This window comes from Homo sapiens, chromosome 4, assembly GCF_000001405.40.
Source record: "Homo sapiens chromosome 4, GRCh38.p14 Primary Assembly".
Lineage (NCBI taxonomy): Eukaryota > Metazoa > Chordata > Mammalia > Primates > Hominidae > Homo > Homo sapiens.
Window position 1 is genome coordinate 148832003 of NC_000004.12, and position 26946 is coordinate 148858948.

The 26946-nt window shown below is 38.1% G+C and overlaps 2 long non-coding RNA genes across 2 annotated transcripts in view; one reads left to right on the top strand and one right to left on the bottom strand.

The window, feature by feature from the left end:
• LOC105377481 (uncharacterized) overlaps window positions 1-3295 on the bottom strand; it is a 51454-nt gene extending 48159 nt beyond the window's left edge. The window contains exons 1-2 of the long non-coding RNA XR_007058322.1: window positions 3172-3295; window positions 2726-2776 (exon numbers count right to left, since the gene is read on the bottom strand). This is a non-coding gene — a long non-coding RNA (uncharacterized LOC105377481). The remainder of the gene's footprint in view (window positions 1-2725; window positions 2777-3171) is intronic.
• The window catches only part of LOC107986195 (uncharacterized), a 496338-nt gene that overhangs the window by 295482 nt on the left and 173910 nt on the right, over window positions 1-26946 (top strand). The window lies entirely within an intron of this gene.

The following is a 26946-nucleotide window of genomic DNA, read 5'->3' on the forward strand; positions in this document are numbered from 1 at the left end:
CTTATTCATTGTCTATGATGCCATAAGATCCATGGGATGTTATTCATGTTACTCATTGGTTGTTGGTTTCATGTGACCAGATACTTTACAGGATGGAAACTCATACATGGTTTCCTTGGTAGCCATTGTAATAGATGTAATCATGATGACTCATTTTGCAACTGTGCAGCTGTAATAAGTAATTCCATGGGGATCCTAATGCAATTCAGTAATAATTAAAGTCCACTAAGCAGAAAAACTTTCTGGCAATGTCAGAATACAGAGAGGCTAGTTGTCCATCATGGGTTTAAATAAAGCATGATGTACAAATGCAGAGAAAGCCTGTGTGTAGGTCTTAGGAAGAGAAAGGCAAAAGGAGCAGCATTATCTTAAATCTTTTTTCAGAAGTTTGCTTAGTTGATTTTCACATGGAAAATAATAGTAATAACAACTGCCATAATATATTGACCACTTATGTGCCAAAGTGCTTTACGTAATTATTGAATTTCTGGGGCAACCATGAGACAAAAGTATTATGGTGCTCATTTTAGAAAAGATAGGGAAATGATGCACAGAGAGGTTAATCAGTTTGCCTACCGTCCCATTCTTAGTGAGAAGGAGAGCTGACATGGAAAAATTAGGCTGTCTGAACCCAAAGTCTTCTTTGTCTCAAAAAGCCATATTTCCACTGAAGATCACGATTTCCTAGTGTATGTCTAGCCCTAATTCAGAAAACTCTCTGCTTCTAAATACTTTGGGACATTTCTTCATGACTTTTGAACACTTGATGAAAAACTCAGGTTGCTATTATTCAAAAATGATTACAAGCACACAGGCTATTTCCATTTGCCTTAAAAAATCACATTTGTTCTCATCAGACAAAGTTAGAGCCAATAAGGGATATGATTTTAAAAGCACCAAAATGACCTTCTGTCAAAAGAAATACATGCATATATACCTGTCCACCAAAATTAAAATACTATCTTACAGCATTTCTTTACTTCCTACTAAAAAATACATTTTATTTGCAGAGTTTCAAGGACAGTGAGGAGTGGTGGTGGAGGATTAGGCTGGGGGTTGAAACTGGGGAGGTGTAGTGTTGGAGAAGTGAGATGGAACCCCAGGCTTTAAGGCTGATGCTATTATTTGTGAATCATTGTGTTTAATTCTGTCTCTCCAGCATCTAACCCAGTGCCTGGCACACTGCTTTTGGCCCATTATTGTTTGATGAGTTGAGTAAGAGGACTTTCAGGGGTGTGTGTGTGTGTGTATGTGCATGTTCATGAGTGTGTGTGCACATGTGTGTGTGTGTGTGTGTTTGTGTGTGTTCCCATTAGAAAGAATTTTAGGAAAAGAAAGAAAAAGAATCTGAAGATTTTGGGTGATTGGATTAAGGATGGGAGCCAGCTGGTAGGACTTTCAGAACTGAGGGACGAGGTGGACTAAAGAGAGACTGAAAGTGCAGAATACAGATAATAGTATGATATAGTAATAGTAGAACATAAAGAAAAGACTCTGGAGTCTGAAGGTATCATGGGTATCCCTCCAATAATCATGAAACCTTGTGCAAATTATTTCCTCTAGGTCTCATTCCTCTTTTCCAAACTAGGGGTTGGTAATTCCATCCATCCATTCGTCCGTCCATCCACCTATCTATCTGTACATCCATCCAATTATTTAGAGAGTAGCTCTAGAGATAAATGAGATAATGTGTATAAAATACTTAGTATACTATAAGCAATATAGAAAGAATTCAAAAATAAAAATGACTTTAAAATCTTAATCCTCACCACATCCCTCTGTGATGTAGGTATTATTATCTCCATTTAACAAAGTAACTAATGCTTAGAAAGAATGACTAACTTTCTCAATATCACATAACTAATAAGTGATGATGGTTTTGTCCTTGGCTCTTAATTACCCTACTATATTGATTATTTATTTATTTATTTTTAATTTTTTCAGCTTTTATTTTAGGTTCAGGAGGTCCTTGTGCAGATTTGTTACATGGGTAAAATGCATGTCCCTGGGGTTGTGTGTACAAATGATTTTGTTACCCAGGGAGTGAGCATAGTAGTCTACTGACACTATTAGACTCATTCATTCATATAGGTTTATTTAGACTGGTAGAAGTTGGCAAAAGTAAATTTCAAATTTAGGACTAGACTCTTCCTCAGGTTCCTATTTTTGGCTTTTGCAGGTTCCTATTTTTGGCTTTTGCATATTACTATTGCATTGCTGTAAATTCTCCACTTGCATTTCCTTAGTACAGGGCAGGTGGAAAGAGGCTTGGACCTTGGCAAGAAACGGCCTCCTTACCAGCCCCACATTATATGAATTTCTCTCCGTGCTTGCCAAGACATTGGTTGCTCCTTTGCTGTATTTGAGGCAGTTTAGTTTAATTTTTCATTATGACAGGTTTTCGTCTCCAATTCTTTATTTAGAGCATAGTTCTCAAAACTTTTTCATTCTGTAATCCCTTTGAGGGTTTCCACAACCCTCAAACATACCTTGAACTACTTTGCTATCAAAATAAAAGTGTGGAAGAATAATTCAGCTGTTGGGAGGAGACACCGGTGATGTTTTTTACTTTCCTTGACCCTGAAGAAGGAAGGAAAGCACTCAGCACTCAGGGGAAGGTGGGAAGTGAAGAGAATTCAGGGTGGACTGGTAGTCTGGCCTCATAGTCAGAGAAAAAGATGCAGAGGAAGAGGTTTCCTGAGAATCTAAAGCCGCTCTTACCTACCATATGTTAGAAGTGTCGCAGCTCTGATCCTGTGAGTCCCTCAGAATATCCCTGGGGAAACAAGACATCCTCTTGGAGAATATTGATTTGAAACAAACAGCTTTTTCTTCTTTTGTTCCCATTCTCTGCCTTCCATCTCAAAAACCTTCCCTTTCCACCATTTTCCCTACTCCTCTCTTCCCTCTGGATTCTCTCCACTTTTTGTCTTCACCCACTCCTGTTTGGAGGAGTCTAGTGATTTGATCTACTTTTCTTTGATGTCTCAAGTGGTCTTACTTCCTCATAACCCCATTGACTCCTTGCCCTCTGACACAGAAAGCCTCAGATCCCAGTTGAGCTTTTGTCTTTCACACCAAATGCAGATGAATAACACTGGGATTTTTGCCTTTTACTGGTGAGCAAATCCGAGCTGGCTTTCCCTTTAACTTGCTCCTCTTTTTTCGTACCTGGTTTTCCTGAATTGACCAAGTTGCAGCTATTTTTCTCTTTAACTTCCCCCTTCAGTTTCAGCGAAAATAAACTACTTCCTGACTTCAACCCCTGGCAGGAGGGTGATGTTATACTGAGTGAGTAACTTAACTACAGAGTTAGAGGAAGTGAACTCTCAGCATTGTTTGCCTATTGGGTAACATTTGTTTTTTTCTTTGGGATGAAGGACTTCTTGACTTTTAAGGACATTGGGCTTGAGTTTTGCCCTCACATAAAGATTGTGTGTGGTCATTGAAAGTTCGACTGCCACCAAGACTATACATGTTTGCGGCTGGCTCCCTGCCATTTGTTCATTCCGACAGCCTCCCTGAAGTCTGGTTCTCATCTGGTCCTTCCTAAGGCCATTTGCTTTGTGATATATCACTGGGATTTCTGTCATCACTTACTTTATAGTTTCCTATTCTAGCAGCAGCAACAGGCTCCTATTTAGTGACTCTGTATCATAATGAATCCACGTTACATCAAGTTTACTGTCTTTCTGTGTCTTTGTATAATTTTAAATAGATCTCCCTGCTTATTTAGAAACTCTGTGGATTTGCCACATCCTCTATTTCCATCTACTCATGTTGACTACTTAAATACTGTCATTTGGTACCACATTTTTCTTCTCTCCTTATGCAATGAATACTTATTATGTCTCTCATACTCTGTCTAATCAATCCATCCTCCTTTTCCTTTCTGGGAACAAGACTAAAATTATTTCTTCTCCTTCAAACTTAACTTTGATCTTCCTGGGACAAAAGAAATGTGTGATATGAGGAACTTCTTATTCTTTGCCCAACAGGTAATCTTTTATACATTCCTCCTTCTTTCTCCCTTAGGTCATTTTTTTTCTCTTCCTTTTTCCTTCAGAATAATTCTGCCCAGCAATTTCTATCCTCATATGTGCATATTAATCTTACAACTTAATATAACATGAAATATAGTTCATTGTATTTAATATGTAACTTTAAAATCTAATTTTTAGTGACAAATGCTGAGAAATTCACTAAATAGTGCATCAAAATCAGCCTTAAAAAATAAGAACACAGTTTACCATCTTATATATTATTTCCACTCATTTTCCACTCACTGAGTTGTTCTTAAAAATGATCAATAAGCCAAGATTCTAGCTGACTTTTTTGGCATAAACCACTACCTGGGTGGATAGATGATATTTTCTCTAAAATATCAAACCAATACATTATGAAGTGTACCTGGATGTTCTTTAACAGATTGGCTTAGATATAGAGTACACAAATCACTGGTTTCGCTTTTCATTCCTGAGATGGTGCAGATTCTTTCTTCTGCTCTTACAAGATTACACTAAATGTGCTGCTTACTCTGTCACCACAAAGAGTTTTCCAATCAAGGGCAGTTCATGGGGACTTACTGATCCCTCCATAATACCTGAAGTGATAGCAGAAACAGTAGATGTTAAATAAACTTAATAAACATGTTTTGGAAGTTACCTGTTTGCATTTCCCCATGATAGCTGGCTTTAAAATACAGAAAAGAAAAAAAGAAAAATAAGCTCCAAATTTCCGCAGAGTTTATCAATCTTTCTAACAGGTTTTTTTCTCTTTTGTTCTGAATTCATTTTATCATGGCCTTTATCAATTCTCCAAAGCAATGATCACCCTTGGGGAAGAAGTATGGAGGAGTGGAAAGAGCTTAGATTTGAAGTCAGGTGGATTGAGGTTACAGCCTCACATCCGTGTCTGCATAAGTGATTTCGTCTCTCTGGGCCTCTCATCCAAAATGGGACTAACAATTCCTAACTTTCCATCAGGTTTTAGAACTGAAGATAATGTGTAAAAACACCTAACAGTGTCTGGAAATGAAGGGTATAAATAAAATATTATGGTGGCTTATTGAGTTGTATTATTTGTTTTATCATGAACTGATACCTACATCAACTTTACAAGTTGAGGCAGAGGCAGACCTCTTTGGTATAATTTCTGAGATACTGGAAAAGTCTGGAAAATGCTCCAAAACCCTCTCACATACTGATCTGATGTTTCTATTCCCACCTTCAGTGTGTTCTTTCTGTAAAGTTTAGCTCATTGTTAAGATGTAAACACCATGCGAATTAATACTTTAAGTTTTACCAACAGCCACCCTTTGATGTGAATGGACTTATCAGAGATCTTTTTAGTGGGATTTGATTGGGAAAAAGTGAAAGAGACAAGTTTAAGGTACTGGAATTCTGGGGCCTGAGGGATTAGGGAATATATGGAGGCATGATGAAAAGTTCAGTGCGTTAGGGGACAAAGGGTACAAAGGCTGCTTTTGAGGTCTCTTCACATTTGGCCTCTGAATCAGGGTAATAGTCTTGTAAAAAGCAAAGTAGAGGTTCCTCTTCAAAGACTATCCTCCCCATCTAATTAGGAATAAATAGTAACTTCTCTTAGAAGCAAAACTTATTCAAAGACCTGTGCTAACATTCTTAAATATCTGCTAGCCGTAATTAAAAAAATCAATGTACTTTATGTTCTTAACTCCCATAACTTAGCCTAAGTATTTGCCCTAGCATGCTTATACTGGTCCAAGCAAGCATTAGGTCATAGCCTGTTCCTCTTGCTTATTTAAAGGTGTTTTTATGTTTCACAGCATTCCACAAGTTACTTCTTCCTTCCTTTGTTCTCCTCTGCCTTTGCCTCTTTTAAAAAGTTCTAAGTTGCTAGCCAATCGGGACAAATACAGAATGTGAGGTCCCATTCCAGCCAATGGAAACCAGACAGCAGTAAGGTGGATGTGTCAGATTATAAATGACCCTGTCTCCTTTGTTCAGTATACTCTCATGGCAAAACTGCTGGCAAGTGTACCCTTTCTGCAGAAAGTAAAAATGGCCTTGCTGAGGAAATTAAATTTATGTTCAAGTGATACTTCTTTACGGCACCAAGGAACAAGCATTTCTAACAGTTTCAACCCTCTTTGCCCATCAGAATCACCCCAGAAGCTTTCAGACATATAATACCTAAGCCCCTCACCTCAGAAATTATATTTAATTGTTTGGTAGGGCATCTTTAGTGTTAAAAAGCCCTGCTTATAATTCAAATGTTTAGTCAAATTGAAAACCAAGGAGTTAGAAGATGTAGGGCCATGGGAAACATTTTTATGCAATTCTCCCTAATCTACTCATGGACTGAATTAAACCATTTTAAACCCAGTCTCTTAAAGAAAGACATTTTCATTTTGATTTAATTACTTTTTAGATCCACCTAAAAAATGCAAGACCATAATATTTATTGACTCAATTGCAACATTTTGTTGAAGGACATAAATTTTAATAATACCTAAAAGATTCTAGGATCAGGTCAACAATCATCAACAAAGTAGAGGCTTTTGCATTCTTATTATTATTACAGTTCTTGCATTCCATAAACAAGCTTCTTGTTCTCTCTCTTATTTCTCCAAGAAAGAGAATTGCAATAGAATCTTCAGGAAATTATCTTTAATGATTAATTCAAGTAACTAACTTGTTTATTGTTTTATAATGTATAATGCAGCTTTTTATATGTCATAATTGGGTAGGTATTATTATTATCATTCCCACTTTCAGGTGAGAACACAAAGAGTTAGAGATTTTGAATGACTTGCCCAAGTTAATGCAGACTTAAATGCAGACACAGAACTTGCCCCAGGGCTTTGATGCTAAAATGTGTATGCTTTCTACAGTTCATTATTTTGAATTTCATTTGTGTTTCTAGATGTTTAGTTGTATCTTGGTAATTTGTTTGGCTCAGAATATTTTCTCTATAATAACCAAGGCTTTCACGGATTATACTGGATAGAAAATCCCAGAGCTGCATGGTTGGCTTTGTCTCAGTCTTCTTCTTTAAGATGACCCTAAGTCCCATTCAGCCTGGGATGGTCTTTGTTTTATTCTTTTGTCCTGGAGTAATTGTTTATAATGCCCCTTTTACTCTCCAAATGGTCCCAGTTTGGATGATAAAGTATATGGCCATCAACCTAATAAAGATTTTGGAACATGGCAGTATGTATTAAGCTGCTTCTTTTTATTTTGCAGAAATATGTTATTTATTTGATTGAGTTTTTTTTCCATTAATAGTTTCCATAGTTTATTTATCTCATATCATGTTTTATTTAGAATTTTATTGAGATTTGACTATGCAGTGCATCTAGAATTGTGGTGGTGATAATAACTTTAATATACTAATTGTTGTTTACATTTATTAATCACTGATTTATCTAAGCACACACTTACCTACGTTACACCTATTATCTCATCTAATACGTATGTTATAGAATCAAATTGGGGTCTGCTTGCCTGGCATAGTAAGACCAGATATACACACTGAGGTTCTGCAGCGGTAGAAAGGAAAGTATTTATTTGCAAGGCACCAAGCAAGGAGGACAAGGCAGCTAACGCTTAAATTCTGACCTCTTTGATGGCTTTCAGGTAAGGGGTTTTAAAGGCAAGCATGAATTCCAGGAAAGCAGAGGAGGGAGAGGGTTGGGGGAAAGAGGAGGCTCACAGGGTCATAGATGAATTCAAAACTTTTCCGATTTGTGATTGGTTCAGGAGGTGAAGTTTTGTCTAAAAATTTGGGATCATCAGAAAAGAATGTTAGCTCTGGCTCACGGGCATAACCTCCTCCAGGTTCCTCAGAAAGAAATTTAGAACAAAGAACTGTGGTCAGAGTTCAGTCTTCATCTCTCCCTTATCTGAGGTCTACCTTCCAGTGGATCCATTTGGTAGGTGTCTGGGTTTCTGAAAAACGACTCAGAGACAAATTTAAGATGTGATTTTTAGTTTCTATAGGGAACCAAACATCTAGTGATGCCAGCTTCCTTGGCTATTTTTTTAAGCTACTATTACCTTCTTACCAAGTTGCCTAATTATTCTCAAGGCTGGCCTGGAATTTCCCTTGAAAGAAATCAATCAAGATTTTCCTTTATTTCCATGCTTGGGGGCCCACAGGCCTCTAAAAAGAAGTCCCTGCTCTGTCTCCCTTAAAAAACTTTGTGGGCCAGGCATGGTAGCTCAAGCCTGTAATCCCAGCACTTTGGGAGGCCAAGGCAGGTGGATTTCTTGAGTCCAGGAATTTGAGACCAGCCTGGGCAATGTGGCAAAACCCCCTCTCTACCAAAAATATGCAAAATTAGCCAGGCATGGTGGTATGCACCTGTGGTCCCAGCTACTCAGGAGGCTGAGGTGGGAGGATTGGTTGAGCCCTGGAGGTGGAGATTGCCTGAGCCAAGATTGCACCACTGCACTTCAGCCTGGGCAACAGAGTGAGATCCTGTCTGTAAAACAAAAACAAAACCCAAAAAACTTTGTGAAGTGGGTACTAGCATTGTCCTCCTTTACAGATGAAAACAGATCTAAAATGAAGTATAGAGATGCCAAGTAACTTGCCCTGGGGCTTAGAGCCCATTAGCAGAGTTAGAACTTTAGCCCACATCTGACTTCAAAGTCCAAGCTTCAAATCATTCCACTAAAATCCAGGCCCTCTTCTCTTACCCATTCTACAAGCACTGGCCTCCTACATAGCCATGAGCAAAAGTTCTCGTCCTGATTATTTGCCTGATGAAATAGTGCATAGAGGAGCATGAGAAGAGGGAAGTGTTCTACTCAACACGCTGTTGGAAACTTCACCTCTCCATATACAGTTGTGTCTACAGCTCCAAGGATATTTGTAGAAAATATAAAAAATATTTAAACCTTTGTTCTAGTATAGACTAAATATCCAGAAGATTTATTTCTTACCTTTATCCATATGTTTTAAAATGACCTGAACTATTTCAAGTCAGCAACTTGGCCAGCAAATTTTATAACATAACATTTTGAGTTCATTGATGCTAGACCTACCTTTGATTATTCATGTGGACCTGACTGTGAGAAAGGAACCAAGGAACCAAGGGTAAATGAATAGGCTTAGCCAAACATTTGGTACAAGGTTGAAACATTGTAGGTACACAAATATATACCAGAGAGATAGAATTTTTACTATACTGCATGCTACTGGGCAGAAGTGCTGGAAGAGGGCAGAAATTTGAATATTGAAAGTGGAAAAAAATATATCTGAAATTCTATCTCAGATGTACCCCTCATGAAAAGTAAAATCAAAACTCCTGTAGCATGACCAAAATGGTATAGTGAGCCCAAGTATTTAGTTATTTAGTGTTCAGGCTGATTGGTATTAGGAATTTAGTAATTACTCAATGTGAATTCTGCCCTCAGGGAGACCAGGGTAGCAGTGAATATGAAATACAAAACAAAATAAATGTGTTGATCATCTTGTGACATTTGAGGGAATATTTTGGGCAGAGGGAGTTGAGAACATTTCTGAATGCAGAGAGTCGAACAACAATGAAAAAGACAGCATTTGCTCTGTGGAAGAAAAGGAGCATGGCTGTATTTGGGAGTGATAGAGGCCATTGATGTGTCAGTGACCAAAGAACAGCATCTCGTGGGGCTGCGGGGGACAGGCTATCGTGGCCTTGTGGTGGACACAGAGCACATGGGCACACAGTCTCAGTGGTACAATTACTTGAGGCAAGCACTGAAGACTAAGTAGTAAAGCGAGAAATGGTTGTGACAAGAGCCATATGGTGTGCATCCAATGTTTCTTTTGTACAATGTTGAAGATTCTGAAGGGGTAGGAAAAAAAACAATGAAGATATACTTGAACAGACCTAGATTAAGAGATTTTGTAGAGGCTATTGCAGAGGATGAATATAAAAGAAAGATGAATATAAAGTGCCTGAGATTAAGGAATGAAGCTGAAGTATAGACCTTCTATAAGCTAGCACAGCTCTAACTCTTCTTTTTATAGAGGTGAAATAGAAAGCAGATTTTCTTCCATTCAGCCAAACCAAACACTAATAAAATTGGCCAGCGTGAATGCAGAAATAAATCATCCCAAACATGATTAATGTTCATATGTAACAGAGTTTCTGAAAGCAGGTACAAAGTATATTTTTTCCACCATCACGTAAACTCCATAACATTTCCATAATTTGAAATTTCAGAATAAGAAAAAACAAAACCCAGCCTAAATGCTTCTCTGAAGAGCAGTCATTATAGCTATATTTGACAAGAAAAAAATAAAACAGGTCCGTTGAAAATTAAAAGAGCAATTTTTTAAATTTCTTGTTGTTTTTCTTCATTGTGAGAATTTAGTCAGTTTATAATAATAATGTACCATAATTTTTATTTTCATCAAAGGCTATGTTAGTACAGTAGTTACAGTGGTTCTAAAAGGTCCATGGGTATGTATGAATAGTAACCCTTCTTAGAAGGCTGCTGAGATGTTTGAAAATTATTCCAACAAAGAAAAATCCCAGACGACCAAGTCAAATTGTGAAGAAGGTTAACTTTGCATTTGTTTTTTCCTCACTGCTTTGTGCTCTTTCTTGTCTCACATTTATTCTGTCTTATTGCTTCCTCATGCTAGAAGCTTCCTCATGCTCAAGACCATTCTCTCAATGTCCTTACGCCTTTCTCAGGCCATGGACCCTGGCTGAAATTCTATTTCTTCTTTTTGCTTCAACAGAACTTCCCCATCTATTCCCCCTTCCCCCAGGGATTTATATTCTTTGCAGGGGAAATGCTAATGGATGAGCAGGCTCAGTGTGTGTGCAGACAACATTGGTGCTCTGCCCCGGTCCCCTGCAATCCCTTGTCCCCATTTTGGGGGCCCTCCTGGCTTTGTGGGCTTTTACTTTCAATGGCCATGATCTGTTGCTTTGGGAGCCTCTTTGCTCACAAGAAGTTGGGAATTTACATGCTCTTGGAATGGTCCTTAATGAACAACTGAAAAGCATAGTATTCTGAAAGCCTAGCTCTCTCACTTGGGTCACAGGGAATGATGAAATTCAAGCTGGAGCTTGCTCAGCCTCCTCTCCTCCCCTCTTCTCCCTCCCCCTCCCCTGCTTCCTTCTCCTCTTCCTGATATCCCCGGAAGTGGGTATATCTCGTAGACATAATCTTGGTCTCAGAGTCTACTTCGTGGTACCAAATTTAAGGCAGTACCAAATGTAAGGCATTTCTTATTTCCTTCCACTATAGAAAATAAGAAATGTCATTCTCCTAAATGCCATAGGTAGGGACAAGATAATAAACAACTAGAGAAGAGTTTATTGAGCTTTTCATACTTATAGGGGCACAAAAAAGACTAAGTTTTTATGTTTTAGCTGTGATGACTGAAGTCATGATGCTTTAGTTCAAAGGACTTAACTCCTTAATGATGGAACAGTGTGCCTATGTGAGGTAGGGACTGTTATGTTCAAGTGCCTTGAAATGGTGCCCTGAAACTCTGTAGGTGACTACTCAATTGCCTATGCATAAGGTAGGGTTTAGTTATAGAGGTAGACTAGGTTATATCTTCAAATCCAAGTTACTGTTTTTCTCATCCCTAAAATGGGGTTGTAGTGAAGTTCAAATAAGATAATGAAATTACCTAGTGCTTAGCCTGTGCTTAACACATTAAATTCATCAACATTTGCAATTTCTTGCAAAGTATATTGTATGTAACACCCCAAAACTCAGTTGCCTTAAAATCATAATCTCATATTTAGCTTGCAGTCCTGTGGGTCGGGAGTTTAGGGCTTGGTGGTTCTTTGGGACCTCACTGGGCTCAGTGACAAGTCTGGGTGTCGGGTGACTGCTGGCTGGGGGAGCTTGTGACTGGTTGCCTCATTTCTATATGGGCTGGCTGTTGTTGAACTTAACGACTTTAAGTCAAATTGAAATAGATTTAAATTATAGTTTAGCATTTTATTAAAGCATGACTTTGAGTAAGTACTTTACTTTTTTAAATGCCCCAGTTGCCATGTCTATAGAATGAAATTCTTCAAATCAGGGAAATTCATTTTGAAATAGACCAATTAATAGAATTATAAGTAGCAGAATCACAACAAAATGTAAGTTCATTTTGCTTAAAGATTGAAGTCTTGAAATGCATGGCTCACAAAATATAGTAACTATTAGTGGTAAATCTCAATGTACATTTTATGGTGCCACTTGATATAGTTGAGAGCTACTAGTTAGATATTAGATGCATTGAATGTACCTTCTATTGGGTTTCTGTCGTAGGGAAACTGGTTAGCTTTATTAATAAGGACATTAATAACATTAAGTTCATCCATTTGATCTTAGTGTGGGCCAGTGAACTTTCATGTTTCATGATCACAGATTGGATTCCTAATCCTTGTGTTTATTATGTGGATTTGTAATGCTTAAGATGAGAACACTAATGAAACGGGTCAGTATGGACACGACAGTACAAATCCCAAAAGGCCATATGTACGTATGTGTGAGTGTGTATGTGCGCAAGCCTGCGTGTGTGTGTGTGTAATAATGTAGCACAGCAAAGTGGGTGCAAAGGATCCAGGAGGCATTAGGTTAGAATCAGGATGTTAGTATAGCTGTGAAATACACCATAAACTCATGACAATGACGGGGAAATACTCAAAGTGCATATATAGTTAATACATGAGAAAATTCATTTTTTAACATTTTCTTAATTTTTTTTTTTGTTTTACTTGCCACTTGGTAGCAAAGAAGATTCATTTTTTGAAAGGAAGGACAGCATGATTTTTGTTTGCTCTCCCTGGTCCTTAGTTCTAGGTTTATAAAATAAGAGTGGTGATATACTTTTCCCATATATTAATTACATCATTTATTTAAGCAGACCCGGGGAGAAAGTACTTTGGGCTCCTTAGAAGAAAGGCACAATATTCAGCTAAGAGGGTCTATTATTTTTATGATTTCCTTCAGAAAATGCTCAAATATAGATTTATTGTTGGAATAGGGAAAGTATATTTTGCCCTGGAATAGCAAACCACAGAGATAATCAAAGTCGATTTATGAATTGCTGAACTCTTAAATTTAAAAAGAGCTAAAGAGCCAAGAAAATTCTTGGTGCCTAAATAACATGGAACTAACAGAACTGAAAGGACCATTCTGGCTCCACAATTCTCAATTCTATGATTTTGTGATTTTATATACATGGGGTGCCATGTTTTAAGGTGCACTAATTAAGCGCCTCTCCTACAAACTGTTCCATTTTTCCTACTTGCCTCCTTCTAATTAAATAAACTCTTGATCTTGATCATTGGCCTTCTCTGTGGGTTCTTTGCATAGGAGTTATAACTTTTCATATGCTCTGAACCCTTTCAAGCCAAAGCAACCCATTTGTTAGTAACTAGGAGGTTATCTTTGTTTTTAGATATGTTTCACTGTCGACCCTGTCTCGTATATTTCCTCCATGCTCAAGTTTACTTGCCAGAGAGTACTTACACTATAGGAAATAAGAAATCTTATTCTCCTAAATTCAATAGGTGGGACAAGATCACAAATAATTAGAGAATAGTGTATTGGGCTTTTGTACTTTTAAAAATTATGGGGCATAAAAAAGACTAAGAAAAACCCAAAGATAAATGTGAAAATCAAACACAGGTTGATGTTGCTCTTGGTCAGGCCAAGAAGCCTGAGATGCAGCAAATATGTCAGGTGAAGTAAAGGGATTGACAGTTCACAGGCTGCAGAATTCCTCTTGTACTTTTTCTCACTGTGTAAGTAAACGACATTGTTATTAATCACTGAATCTCATGGGAGAATATGCAGCTGCATCTTGCCTCAAAATAGCTGCCATTTCCAGATAGTTGGTCTTATGCTGGGCTTGGCCACAGCCCTGAGGAACAGACCATTTTGGAAGACAAAGCTAGTGGCTTTCTCCACTGCTTACTTCTTTCTAAAATCAAATGTAGAACCAGAAGAGAAACATGTTGATCTAGCCAGCATTTCCACTGCTCTAGATAGTATTATGAATGATGAGAAACTCTTTAGCAGAACACAACAGAAAAAAAAAAGGTTTAGGTTTCTTATTTCTATTATATTTATTATTTTCTAGATCAAGGGTTTTAAAAAAATTTAATTTAGAGAGAGAAATTTCCTTTCTTAGTTTAGAGGTATTTCACTGGAGACAGCAGCAACCACAATTGCCAAGTAGCTAGAGGAAATGGCTTCTCAAATAGAAGGGAATGTTATTAATTCCTAAGATAGCAGTATGGTAAATTCAAAGGAATTAGTTTGTAAATTTGACTTGGTAATGAACCACTGAAGAAAAAAAAGGGGCTAAAAATTTCTCCTAAATCAATAGCTGACACTGGATACCTGAAATGCCATGACACTTTTACAGAACATTTTAAATAGCTGGTAAAAATAAAATGAGTCAATTATATCATAGGACTTGACAAAGAGAGTCCTAATGGTTGAGTCTTAAAAGAATATGCAGAATATAAACCTAGGGAAAACCTCTTAGAAAAGCTGGAGAATAAGGACCTTTTGTGTTTTGTCTGGAAAACTTAAATACTAAGGGGAAAAAAAAATCCATGAATCCTTGATTACAGCCCATAGTTTCGTAATCCAAATCCTATTTTTCATCTGTAATACCCAGGAAAGGGGATCTCACTTTCATAATGAGAAAGAAAATAAAGGTAAATTTAGAACAGTAAGAGAGCACATAGAAAAAGAAACAGGCCTGAGAGGCATTTGCAGGTTTAAGGTAACAGGGCTCCATAAAGAGGAAACTGCAAGAGAAGGGAAAAAGTCCCTGTCCATCATGCCTGTTTAAAGAAACTTAGTGCCTTGAGGTTACATAACATAATAATGGCCAAGATAATTTTTAGTGAAATAAAATGTTAAACTATGAACGTACATGTAAAATTACACTCAGGAATATAATTGAGGTTTCATGGTATGAAAATTAAATGACTTATGAACTATAAGCTACTATCGTTGGAAAATTTATATATGTATGTGTGTGTGTGTGTGTGTGTGTGTGTGTATGTATCTTGGCCACAAGATATAGATATCTAAAGCCTCTTTTTATATGTATTGTTTGATACGTTTAAACTAAGGGGTTATTTTACCATGGATTCAAACAAAACACACATACATACATAACACACAACCACATATGTCACCCCTCCCACCTTTCATAAATTAAACAGCCAACTGCCTCAGCCTTCATCCACTTTTCTTATCACCTGTTACCAAAAGAAATCTAACATCGGCCAGGCGCGGTGGCTCACGCCTGTAATCCCAGCACTTTGGGAGGCCAAGGCGGGCGGATCACGAGGTCAGGAGATTGAGACCATCCTGGCTAACACGGTGAAACCCTGTCTCTACTAAAAATACAAAAAATCAGCCGGGCGTGGTGGTGGGCGCCTGTGGTCCCAGCTACTCGGGAGGCTGAGGCAGGAGAATAGCATGAACCCGAGAGGCAGAGCTTGCAGTGAGCCGATATGGCGCCACTGCCGTCCAGCCTGGGCGAAAGAGCGAGACTCCGACTCAAAAAAAAAAATAATAATAATAAATAAATAAATAAAATAAAATAAAACACACATACACACAAAAGAAATCTGACATCACCATCTGGTGTTCACTGAGGGCTGTTTGGTACTAGCCAGAGGGAAGGTGGGTGGGATGCCCTGTGTCCCGGGAGAGTTCAGCTTTGTTAGAAGTGGAGACCTGGGAGTGGAAGGTGGAAGCAGCGCCCAGAGGTGAGCTACACAGGCTTAGACAGGGTGAAGAGAGCGCACTCAGGCCACGCGTAGGTCGCTGCCAGTTTATTCTCTGAAAACATTTTAAGACAAGGGGAACATTGGATTTCAAAGGCTCAGGGAACACTTCTCCTTTAGTCCCTTGCCCATTTAGCAGTTTGAGGCTGCCATTTGTGCACTAGAGAAATTGTGACATTGCAAGTTCCTGTTGTATTAATATTTGACTGTTTTATATGTAGTCGTTAAGGTAAATGTTTAATAAGCAATCACAAGTCAGTTATGGGCGCTGTTTCTGTTTTTTTCTATGGATGTAGTTGTGAGCAGCTCTGGGAGAAGAACAAAGCATATGCAGAAGATTTCAAAGTGAGTTTTATTGCTTCATTAACGTTCTTACAGTGTTTCCCTCCAACACTACTAACTGAATGGAATAAAAGAAGCTGCCTTCAAAGAAGGATAGAGTCACTTCCTTTCCCCACGTCTGCTTTAATTGTCTAGTTTTTGTTATCTATTCATTTTTTCTTCAGAACCTAAAGCCTCTTACTTATTATATGTATTGTTTGATACATTTAAACTAAGGGGTTATTTTACCATGGATTCAAACAACAAAAATAGACAAGTGAACTTTCTGGATTTTCAGTTCCCATGCCCAACCCCTTTTTCTAATAACAAAGGATGGCATTTTCTCTTGAACATGTTTGTCTGTTTTTCTTTGAGCTTTTTACCTCTAATTTTCCGTAATTAACCACATTGGCTGAAGCTTATATACTGTGGTTATTTACTGATACTAATTTAGCTTTTCCTCTTTACATTTTTCTGCTAATGCAGTCTATTTCTTTTATTAAAAAATGTTCTAGGCAATTTTACTTCCAGCAACCCCAAGTCATTGGCCTTTATTTTGTTCTTTATTCCATTTCCGAAATGGACAATGATAAATGAACAGCCATCAAAGCCCTGTAGTACGATGACTGTGACCTTAATTTTGCAGTTAACACTCTATATTGCTTGTCTGAAATGTGCACTCCATCCTTTTCTCTTGGCTTTTCACTGCCTGCTTGTGTTTTGTTTTCTTTGTTTTCATGTTCTTTTTCATTAAGACCAGTTCCTCTCTATGAAACACCTCACTGTAGAACACTAAGACAGGCCTCACAGACCAAGGATCAACTAAACCCTACATAACTGTGTAGTCTTCCCACTCTGAAATATATGCATACAAAAGTATAACCAACATTAATATATACATAATATATATAGATATCTACATAGTTTACTAATATGTAAAATATATTTTTTGTGTATCTGTATCATCTATCCATCTACCTATCTACTATCTATCTATCTCTTCAGAAAAGAAATTCAAAGATTAATATGTTATCACTCACCTCTAGAAGAAAGAACATTTTTCTTTTGGTGATGGAGGGGCATTGAAAATCCAAAACCAACTTTAAAAAGAAACTTGACCTATCCTTCAAATGCCTTTCTAAAGAAGTACTTCCAAGGCGTTGCCTCTGGTTGCTCTGTGAATGGTCATGGAGAAGCAACTCTTACAGGTGTGAAGGGGCAGTTGCAATCCAGTCTTCACAGGCTTGTGCAAGTGTCTGCCCAGATAGTGTCATGATGCTAAGAAAGGAGACAGTAATGCTCTGTCAAATGTGTCAGGAAGAAAATTATGGTGGTCAAGAGCCACTCATCAGCCACTGAACACTGACTTCCACTGCTTCACACGGCCTTCCCACTGCAAATCTCTATTCCAAATATAAATACACAACTTACAAGGAAGAAAAAAAGGGGACCAGCCCCAGGGTCCCCTGTTTTCACCTATGGTACTTGTATTTCTCTGTTCTTTCTGGGAGTGGACTTGCATGGGTATTTGTTTCCGCTAATACCCGTGATAGCTAATACTCATGACACAGCAGCTGGTCCCTGAGCTCCAGGTACATATTGGGTACAAATGAGGAGATTAGGCAGGCACAGCAATGCTTTCTGGTGAGGACACAGGTACTAACAGTTTTCTTAGCACCTACTTTTCTTGAGTAAGAAATGACTAGCCTGTCCTGTGACTCACTGGTGAGCTAGGACTTTAAGTGGCTTCAGGTAGAATCTGGTCTTTCCTAGGACTTCCACCAAATCTGCTATACTTCATGGTGACAATAATAGTGAATATTCACCAGTTACCAGTGTGCCAGGTGTGGACTCTGGGCTTTAAATATGTCAGGCCATTTAATCCTCTCTATAAATCTTAAGATGGGTTCTGTAGTTAGCACTGTTTTGAAGATCAGAAAACTAAGGCACTGAGAGACTAAATAACCTCCCCTAAAGTTACATAGAAAGGAAACAGCAGAATTAGCATCAAACTCAGTCAGTCTGGCTCCAAGCACTTTGTCCTTCACTATTCTGAGGGACGGAGGCATGGTGGGACAGGATGATTCTGGCAACTTGCCTTTTCTCACCGTCTCTTTACAATTCTCTGGAATAGGAATTGACTTCCAAAGTGGCTTTGTGAGGACAGCTCTTAGGTAAGGGTGGATGCTGGCTCCAGCATACTAAATGCAAGCTATTTCGCCACAGGAGTTAATTTGTTCCTGTGTTGCTGGGATATATACCAAGTAATCTAAGGAAGATGAGTGTGTGACTGAAAATCTCTGGGCAGAGTATACTTTTCCTGTGTGTGCAGAGCTTCTCTCAGTGTAGACAGCCCTGGTTAAATATTAAGGAAAGGTTATTTGAGGAGAGTGGCACAATCTTACTTCATGGAAACTATATCCATGTGGTCATGTGCTTAAGGTGTGGCTAGCTACTGGAAAGTGTTGTAACTTACTTTGTGGGACACATAAAAACAAACTAACACTTTGAGGGAGTAATTGAATATATACAAAGTATTATATTGTGACTTATTAAAAAAGAAAATACTAGAAGGAGAGGTGGAATAATACTTATGTTTGTCACTAAACCATTTGCAAGTGAATTTCACATTATCTCACCTAATCTTGTTTATAGACAAGGAACTGGACCTTACAGAGATTAAGTAACTTCCCCAAGGTCACAAATGTAATAAGGGCAGAACTGGATTTGAAATCAAGTTTGTGAATACCAAAGTCCTTGATCTTTCTATATCACCGTGTGTGTGTGTGTGTGTGTGTGTGTATGTGTGTGTGTTGGAAAAGGAGGGAGATTGGCAATGGGGGAGGGGAGTGTACTGAATAGAATTTTAAAAACACAAAGTGGTTTCCCCTAATAGTTCCAGTAAAAGCTCAGTGATATCACTTCTATACATAAGTGCTAGAGGTCATTGACTTAACAAATATTATTGAGCATTGCTATGTGAAATATAGTAGTGAAATAACTGAAAAAATTACAGGATATAAAGAGGTAGAAGAGCCCAGGAATGCCTTGAGTTATGAAGATTGTCACACCCCAGTGGCCAGCTCCAGCTCATGCCGATGGTGGCTGGAAATCTCTGATTTCGTATCTCTATATACCCATTTATTTTTTGTTCACTGCTTCCTTCATACATTTTCTTTGAATATCAGGTCATTTATTTAATTAATTAATTTATTTTAGAGATGAGATCTTAATCTGTTGCCCAGGCTGGGACGCAGTGGTGTGATCTCAGCTCACTGCAGCCTTGAACTCCTGGGCTCAAGTGATCCTTGCACCTCAATCTCCTGAGTAGCTGGGAATACAGGCATGCACCACCATGCCCAGCTATTTTTTATTATTATAATTTTTGTTTGTAGAGACAAGGTCTCATTTTGTTTCCCAAGCTGATCTCGAACTCCTGGCTTCAAATGATCCTCCCACTTCAGCCTCCCAAAGTGCTGGGATCATTGGCATGAGTTACTGTGGCCAGCCTGAATAGCAGGTCATTTAATTCCATCCACGCAATTCTTTTCATTCCAAGTTCAAGTGACAGTGGGGCCTACACTAGAGAGCTTTCAGTAGAATCTAAATGGTAGAGGAAGGTGGAGATAATATTGAAAAGAAGCAAAAAAATAATAATAATAAACAATTACTTATGGTATAGGGATGGTGGAGTGGAGTAGGGCTCGTGGTGTAAAATGATTTTTAACAGAGAAAGTCTCCTTTACTCCCAGGCCCCTTGTTTCTGGGGAACCAAAAAGATATTGCTATTGATGCATCATTCTTTAGAAAATAAATATTAACATCTATTATAAACAATTCACTAACAAAACACTGCTGCTACTAGGATTAATGGTCACAATAATGATTATAGTTATGGCCAAACTGAACTTCCTATAGGAAGAAGAGATTATCAGGCCTCCAGTGGGATGATTGCTATAAAATATGTTTCCAGGGAAGGAGGAATTTGTTGAATCTCATTGTGATATGGTCGTGAGGCTTTAGGGCTTGCCCTGTGGCATGGAGGGTAATCAGGCTAGCAATAACTCATCATGAAGTTGGAATCCAATATTTCTCCTTATTAATTCATGCCACAGGAAAGTTACATGCCACATATTACTGAGTGCCCATACTCTTGAGAAAGGAAGTGCTAACTTTTCCTATTCCTCTACTCCTCCTCATAAACACACCACACCCTTATTTAGTTCAAGAGTGCTTAATCAGGAAATAACGAAATTGTGAGTAATAAGTCATATTATCAGTGTGATAGGGGAGTGATAAGTACACATTGAGCGTTCAATACCTCTCAACAACCAGTCAATAAAAATAGGAGGGACAGTAATTAAGATGAATCTCCACTTGGAAGTGGTAGCCTGGGAGGGGAAATGGTAGTAAAGAGTTATGCTGCCCCCAGGAGCCAGCAAAGCCCTCGTGTTCCTTGGAACTCAATACCCACCCTGTAAGAAATGCCATAACATTAAGCAGATACACACCTCAGCTTTCACAAGTTGTGCTGGTTACCCATATTATGGGCCAGAGTTTCAGGGTGGCTTAAAGAGAAGGAGGAAGAGAAGGAGACTGTGGCAAGGCTGCTAGGGACACCATAATGTTCTTGAGAAGGCAGCATGATGAATGAGTGAAGAACGAAGGCATAAGGGGTGAAGACTGAGAATCAAAAGACTTGGACCTTCCTCAAAGAAGCTTGGACTTCACACCTGAATCTCATTTCCTTATCTGTAAAAGGAGGACCGTGGGCTAGGGCAGTGCCACGGTTTCTTCCTGTTTTAAAGTCCCTAGATTCTGAGCTAATGTCATTTCAGAATCTGTACAGAACTGACACATATCTTTGATCACCAGTGAAATCCTAGGTTGCTTGCCTGACCACAGCATTTCCCTATCTGCCCTATAAGCATTTATCAAGCAGCATAGTGTTCTCTGGCAGCATCATTTATTTTCAAGGATGCTCTTTGGGGATAACTTTGTATGGTGATATAATTTCAAACTTATGAAAAAGCTGCATGAATTGCATAAGGAATTCCAATAATACTTTTTTCCAGATTCACCAATTATTTACATCTTGCCCCATTTGCTTACTCCCTCTCTGCATGTATATCTGCATACATATTCATATATCTTATATATATTTGTAGAGAATCATTTGAGAGTAAGTTTGATGCATCGTGACCATTTATTGTTAGTTTACTGTATATCTCCTAAGAACACAGACATCTCCTACATAACCATAGTCCAATTATCAAAACAAGAACATTTAGCATTGATATATACTATAATATACAGTCCACATTTGATTTTAATTAATTATGCAAATAATGTTTTAATTGATAGTTTCTCTTGTCCAGGATTCAATTCAGATTCACAGACTGCAGTTAGTTGTCTCTTTGGTCTCTTTAAACATGGAATAATGCCTGTCTTCCTTTGACTTTCTTGACAAAATGTTTGAAGAGTACAAGTCATCTGTTGTATAGAATGTCCTTCAATTATGTCTTGTCCGATATTTCCTTATGGTAAGATTCAGATTATGCATTTTTAGGACAGTTGCACCACTGAAGTTATATAGTATACTTAGTGTGTCATATCAGGTGGCACATGCTATTGGTTCATTCCAATACTGATGAACTGTTAACTCTGATCACTTGGTTAAGTTATGTATATCTTTCCCTTTACAATTAATACAATTTCAATTCATAATATAAGATTCTAATTACATATACTTTAGACTGTTTGATATTGCTATTCTACTTTTCACTTTATTGTGCTAAAATGTGGATGATCCGTTGACCTGTTGTCAAGTTTATTGATTCTTTTCACTGTCGTTTCCAGTCTCTTGAAAAGCTGATTGAATGAATTCTTCATCTTAGACATCATATATTTTATTTCTAGCAATTTCATTTGGCTCTTTTAAATAGTTTCTATTTCTGTGGCCAAATTACCCGTTGTATATTATGTACCTTTTCCACTAGATCTTTTAACATATTTATCAAATTTATATAATATTAACTTTTGGGCCATCTCTCAGTCTGTTTTTATTTTCTTTCAAAATATGCTATTTTTCTTCATGTGTTTTGTAATTTTTGAATGTGTACAGGACATTGTTTGTCAAAATACAGTAGAGACTGAAGTAAGTAATATTTTTGCCCAGGATACCTTTTTTTCTGTCAGCCATCTGTATAAACTATAGTTGAGCTATGTGTGAAGTTTACTGTCATTTTAATTAGGTTTAGTTCACCAATAGGTTAATGATTCAAGAATGAGTCAGTACTTTACCTCCAACAGGGCAAGACCTTTTTGTACAAACAATCTTTGGCTTCCTGAACCAAGGAGAATCTCATTCTGCTTTCTAAACTGGCTTCTAGATTTTTATGTTGTTAAAGAGTTTGCTTTGTTATACAGTTCTGCCTCCTGGCTTTCTGTGGTTCAAGGGACCTCTTTCTGCTCTGCTATGTTCTCCTTATCCATGGAGTATTGGGCAGTGAATTTTAGTGAATGCTAAGAGTGTCCATAAGGGGCTTAGGATGGTATGTTTCTGAGTGGTGGCAATGCAGAAGAGCTAAAAAGACCTTGAGATTTTGGGAACTTGCTCCCCAAAGAGATCTTTTAGGTCTCTTGCCCTTCCTCCAGCTGTGAGAACCCTCTGACAAGTACTTAATGAAGGCCTGTGGCACTTCATAGAGTTTCCTTTAGTTCTTCTGCCCTCTTTTCATCATTCTATCTCACCTCTCTTGCTCTGCTCATCATCTTTTGCATTAGCACTTAGTGAAGGCCCATGGGAAAGGTGTGATGAGTAGGTGCAGATTCTCACTGTGCATCGAGCTTAGGATCCTAAACATCACACCAGCTGTCATTTAGTCATAAAATTCTTACAAAGTTTAGATAGTTTCTCCTTAAATCTATTAATGGTAACTTCCTACTTGCACTACCCTACAAAAGATGATAGGAGCTGTATGGCAGTTCCCAGGAAGGGCTTGTCACTTCCTAGATTTTAGTTCATTTTGGTTTCATTAATCCTCAGCTATCTAATAGGTTTGTTTTAAAAAGTATGACTTTGTAGGTTAGTTGGCTTGTTTTTGATAGTAGGGTATAAATGGAAGCAGAAATTAGGATTAGGATCTGGTGTCCTTTGGATATATTCTGCCCAAAATACAATTAACCCTTCATACTGAGAAATAAAAATAAAATCCTAAGCCCCTTAACCAACTGAAGGAACCCTTTTTGGCCAAAGTGACCCCAGAAAAACCTCAAAAGCTAAGTTTCTTGCCATCATGGGATAGGAGGTCAGCCTTGACCTCCTGGGCTCAAGCAATCCTCCTGCCTCAGCCCCCAAGTAGCTTGGACTACAGGCATGCACCACCGTGCCTGGTTAATTTTTATATTTTTTATAGAGACAGGGTTTTGCCATGTTGCCCAGCTGGTCTTGAACTCCTGAGCACAAGTGATTCACCTGCCTCAGCCTCCCAGTGTTCTGGAATTACAGGCATGCATTTGACTTCTAAGTACACATATTTGACTTGCTTTGGTTGAAGCACTGCACTGGCCTGAAGTCATACAAGGACCTCTGAACTACCTGGGAGAGGCCATATGTTCTCATTGCTACTGCTGTTATTGCTTTTAGGTCCTCTCAAGTAGACAGATCTGGGAAACTATATATATAGAGAGTCTCCATTTATCATCCATCTATTAAAAACTATGAGTTCATACTGATACCTCCAATTTTAATCTGAAAGCACATTGTACATTCTAATCCTCCCTTTTCCATATTTGTAACTTTCTTCTACAACAGTGAGAAACTTGGATCTCATTATGCTTAATATATTTACTCATTTGATTAAGATTAGGATACAGAGAAATTCATTTCAGAATTGCTAACTGTATTAGTCTGTTTTCAAGCTGCTGATAAAGACATACCTGAGACTGGACAATTTACAAAAGAAAGAGGTTTAATTGGACTTACAGTTTCACATAACTGGGGAAACCTCACAATCATGGTGGAAGGCAAGGAGGAGCAAGTCACATCTTACATGGATGGCAGCAGGCAAAAAGAGAGAGGGTTTGTGCAGGGGAACTCCTCTTTTTAAAACCATCGGATCTTGTGAGATTTATTCACTATCATGAGGACAGCATGGGAAAGACTTGCCCCCATGATTCACTTACCTCCCACTGGGGTCCCTCCCACAACACATGGGAATTCAAGATTAGATTTGGGTGGGGACACAGCCAAACCAAATCACTAACCCATACCACTAGGAAAAAAAAAAGTCTATGAATTAGACTTCAATAATTGTTTACTGCTTTTTAAAGGTAAAATTTACACATAATGAAATAAAAACCTGTATACAATTCAATGAGTTTTGATAAATGCATACCTCATATAATCCACACCTCTCTAAAGATATTGACTATTTCCATCATCTCAGAATAATTTCCCTTTTTAATCCATTTTCCCTTCCTTTCCTCGAGTAACCACAGTTCTACTTTTTTTCACTGTAGTTTTGCCTGTTCTGGGGCTTCATACCATAGATAATACAGTATGTATTCAGAGTTGAGCTTCTTTTGCTCAGCATACTGTCTGTGAGATTCATATGTGCTATGTGTATCAAATTAAGAGTTTTTTTTAAATTTTGGTTAGAAATTATCTCATTATATGTATGCATTCCACAATTTGTTTATTCTGTTGATGGACATTTGGTATGTTTCCAGTTTTTTTGCTAATATGAATAAAGCTGCTATAAACATTCTTGTCCAAGTCTTTGTGTGGACGTATGTTTTCTATCTCTTGGATAGATGCTCAAGAATGGGATTAGTGTGGCATGGGTGGGTGGGTGTCTACCTTTATGAGAAATTACAAAACATTTTGGCAAAGTGTTTGGACATTAAATCTGGCTTTGACTTCATTTTAACACATTTCTTTTGTAAGTAGCATGGGGCTTTACAGCTTCCCTCACTATGTGATTCTCTCTGACCTTAGTATCCTTCATAGAAAGGGCTCTAGCATTGGATTGGTTTGAAGGCACACAAGGACCTCATAACTACGTGAGAGAGGCTAGTTTTAGGCTTCTAGCTGGGCTTCAGTGAAGTTGTAACAAGTCTTCATCCTCTGTGAGTTTCTGATCTATTACAAATTCCCCTCCTGCTCCCTAACCATGCAACCAGCCAATTCTTAACATCATGGTGGAGGTGTCATACTTCAATTGCAGCTCAACTTGGCATGTGCGAGGGGAGAGTATTTTCCCTCCACGGACTCCCTCAGACTTTGTTGTTTCAGTGCTTATGTAATCCTGAGCAAGCTGTGAGGTGCTGTGCTGATGAGGAATGTGTGGGTGGGCAAGGCCTCTCCTTTGGCTAACTTGACCCTGTGATCTTCTAGTCATCTCCTGCCAGAGCAACTAGAGGCTACTTCATAACTGAACCTGGCTCTAGTTGTGGTATCTGGATTTCATGAGTGCTGTGTTTAGCTGAGACTTGTCAGAAACAAAGTAACTAAGGGGTTTGAAACTCTGCAGTGTTCTGAAATACAGTAAAGCATCTATTCCCCAAAATAGCACTTGTACAACACCGGGAATGTACATTTCCTTTCTCTTTCTCTCCTTTTGTTGGATTTTCTTTCCCCACAATAATTCATCCTGTCACCACATCCCTTTCTTTGAATGCAGTACGTGTTGCACTTTTCTTATCAGATTCAGACACTTTTTCTCTTTAGCAACCTCCTTCCTTTAGACTCAGTCCTACTCTTCCTTTTAGGTTTATTGGTGTCATGGGGCATTATCATCTATTATTGCCTGGTTGTGTCTCCTTAAGTGCAGGAAGCACTAAACCCTTGGTAATTACAGTGTTGGCCTCATGAAGGACTTTTGTGATTAAAATGTTTTATCATCAGTGGTTGTCCTGCATTATTTTTTTTATGTGGCTGCTGCGATGAACTATTTTACTATGAACAGGGCTGTGGTACTTGTCTAAACGAAGCAGTACAAACGCATTTTATGATGAGTCAGTACATTGTAGGTAACAGATGAAACCCTGGGTTATAGAGCAGGTTTAGACAATAGGGGTCAAGAGGAAACTTGACCAAAATCAAACATTTTTCTTTTGGGTAAAGGAGAATGTGTCAGGAGCCCTTGTTCTCTTCAGTGAGAGAAACTGTTGCCACTACTAATTTGGACTCTACCTTCTTTCAACTTCCTGAAACGTGACATTCTTCTCAGGGAAATCCAGAGTCCTATGTTGATTTTTGTAGCCCCACCCAAGCTGCTCTTTAACCCCTCTTGCCTTAGGAGTGCTATCTTAAATGTTCTTTCTTGGCCATCCAACTAGGAATAAGTTTAGATAGCACTTTAAATCACTACATATTCACTCTTCCATTTATCCATCTATGTCTCCATTCATTCTTCTACCAAACATTGAACAATCACTAAAGTGCTCAGTGAATATATCAGGCGCAGTGGACAACTGTATGTGAATAAGATAAGACAGTGCCCTTTCCTCTAAAAGATTATAATTTAGAAGAGATAGGGAAGCAAATAATGTCTGTATATAAGTGATCAAATAAAAGAAATAAAGTAATGAATTCCACAAAAGAGGCATGAACTGTGCTGTGTTAGGTGAGAAGAGTGTTCCCCACACTTTTTGATTGTGCAGCCCATTAAAATTTTTGCACACCTACCAACAATATATATTTTATATAAATTATGTATATGTACTCTGTACTAATATGTTGCATACATTATAATTGTGTGCATAGAGATTAACATATAATGTAAAGATGAAATAGGCTGTAGTGTTTAAATGATTTTAGTTTTATTGAACCATACAAAACTTTTCCTGGTCTGTCGAATATGCTATTA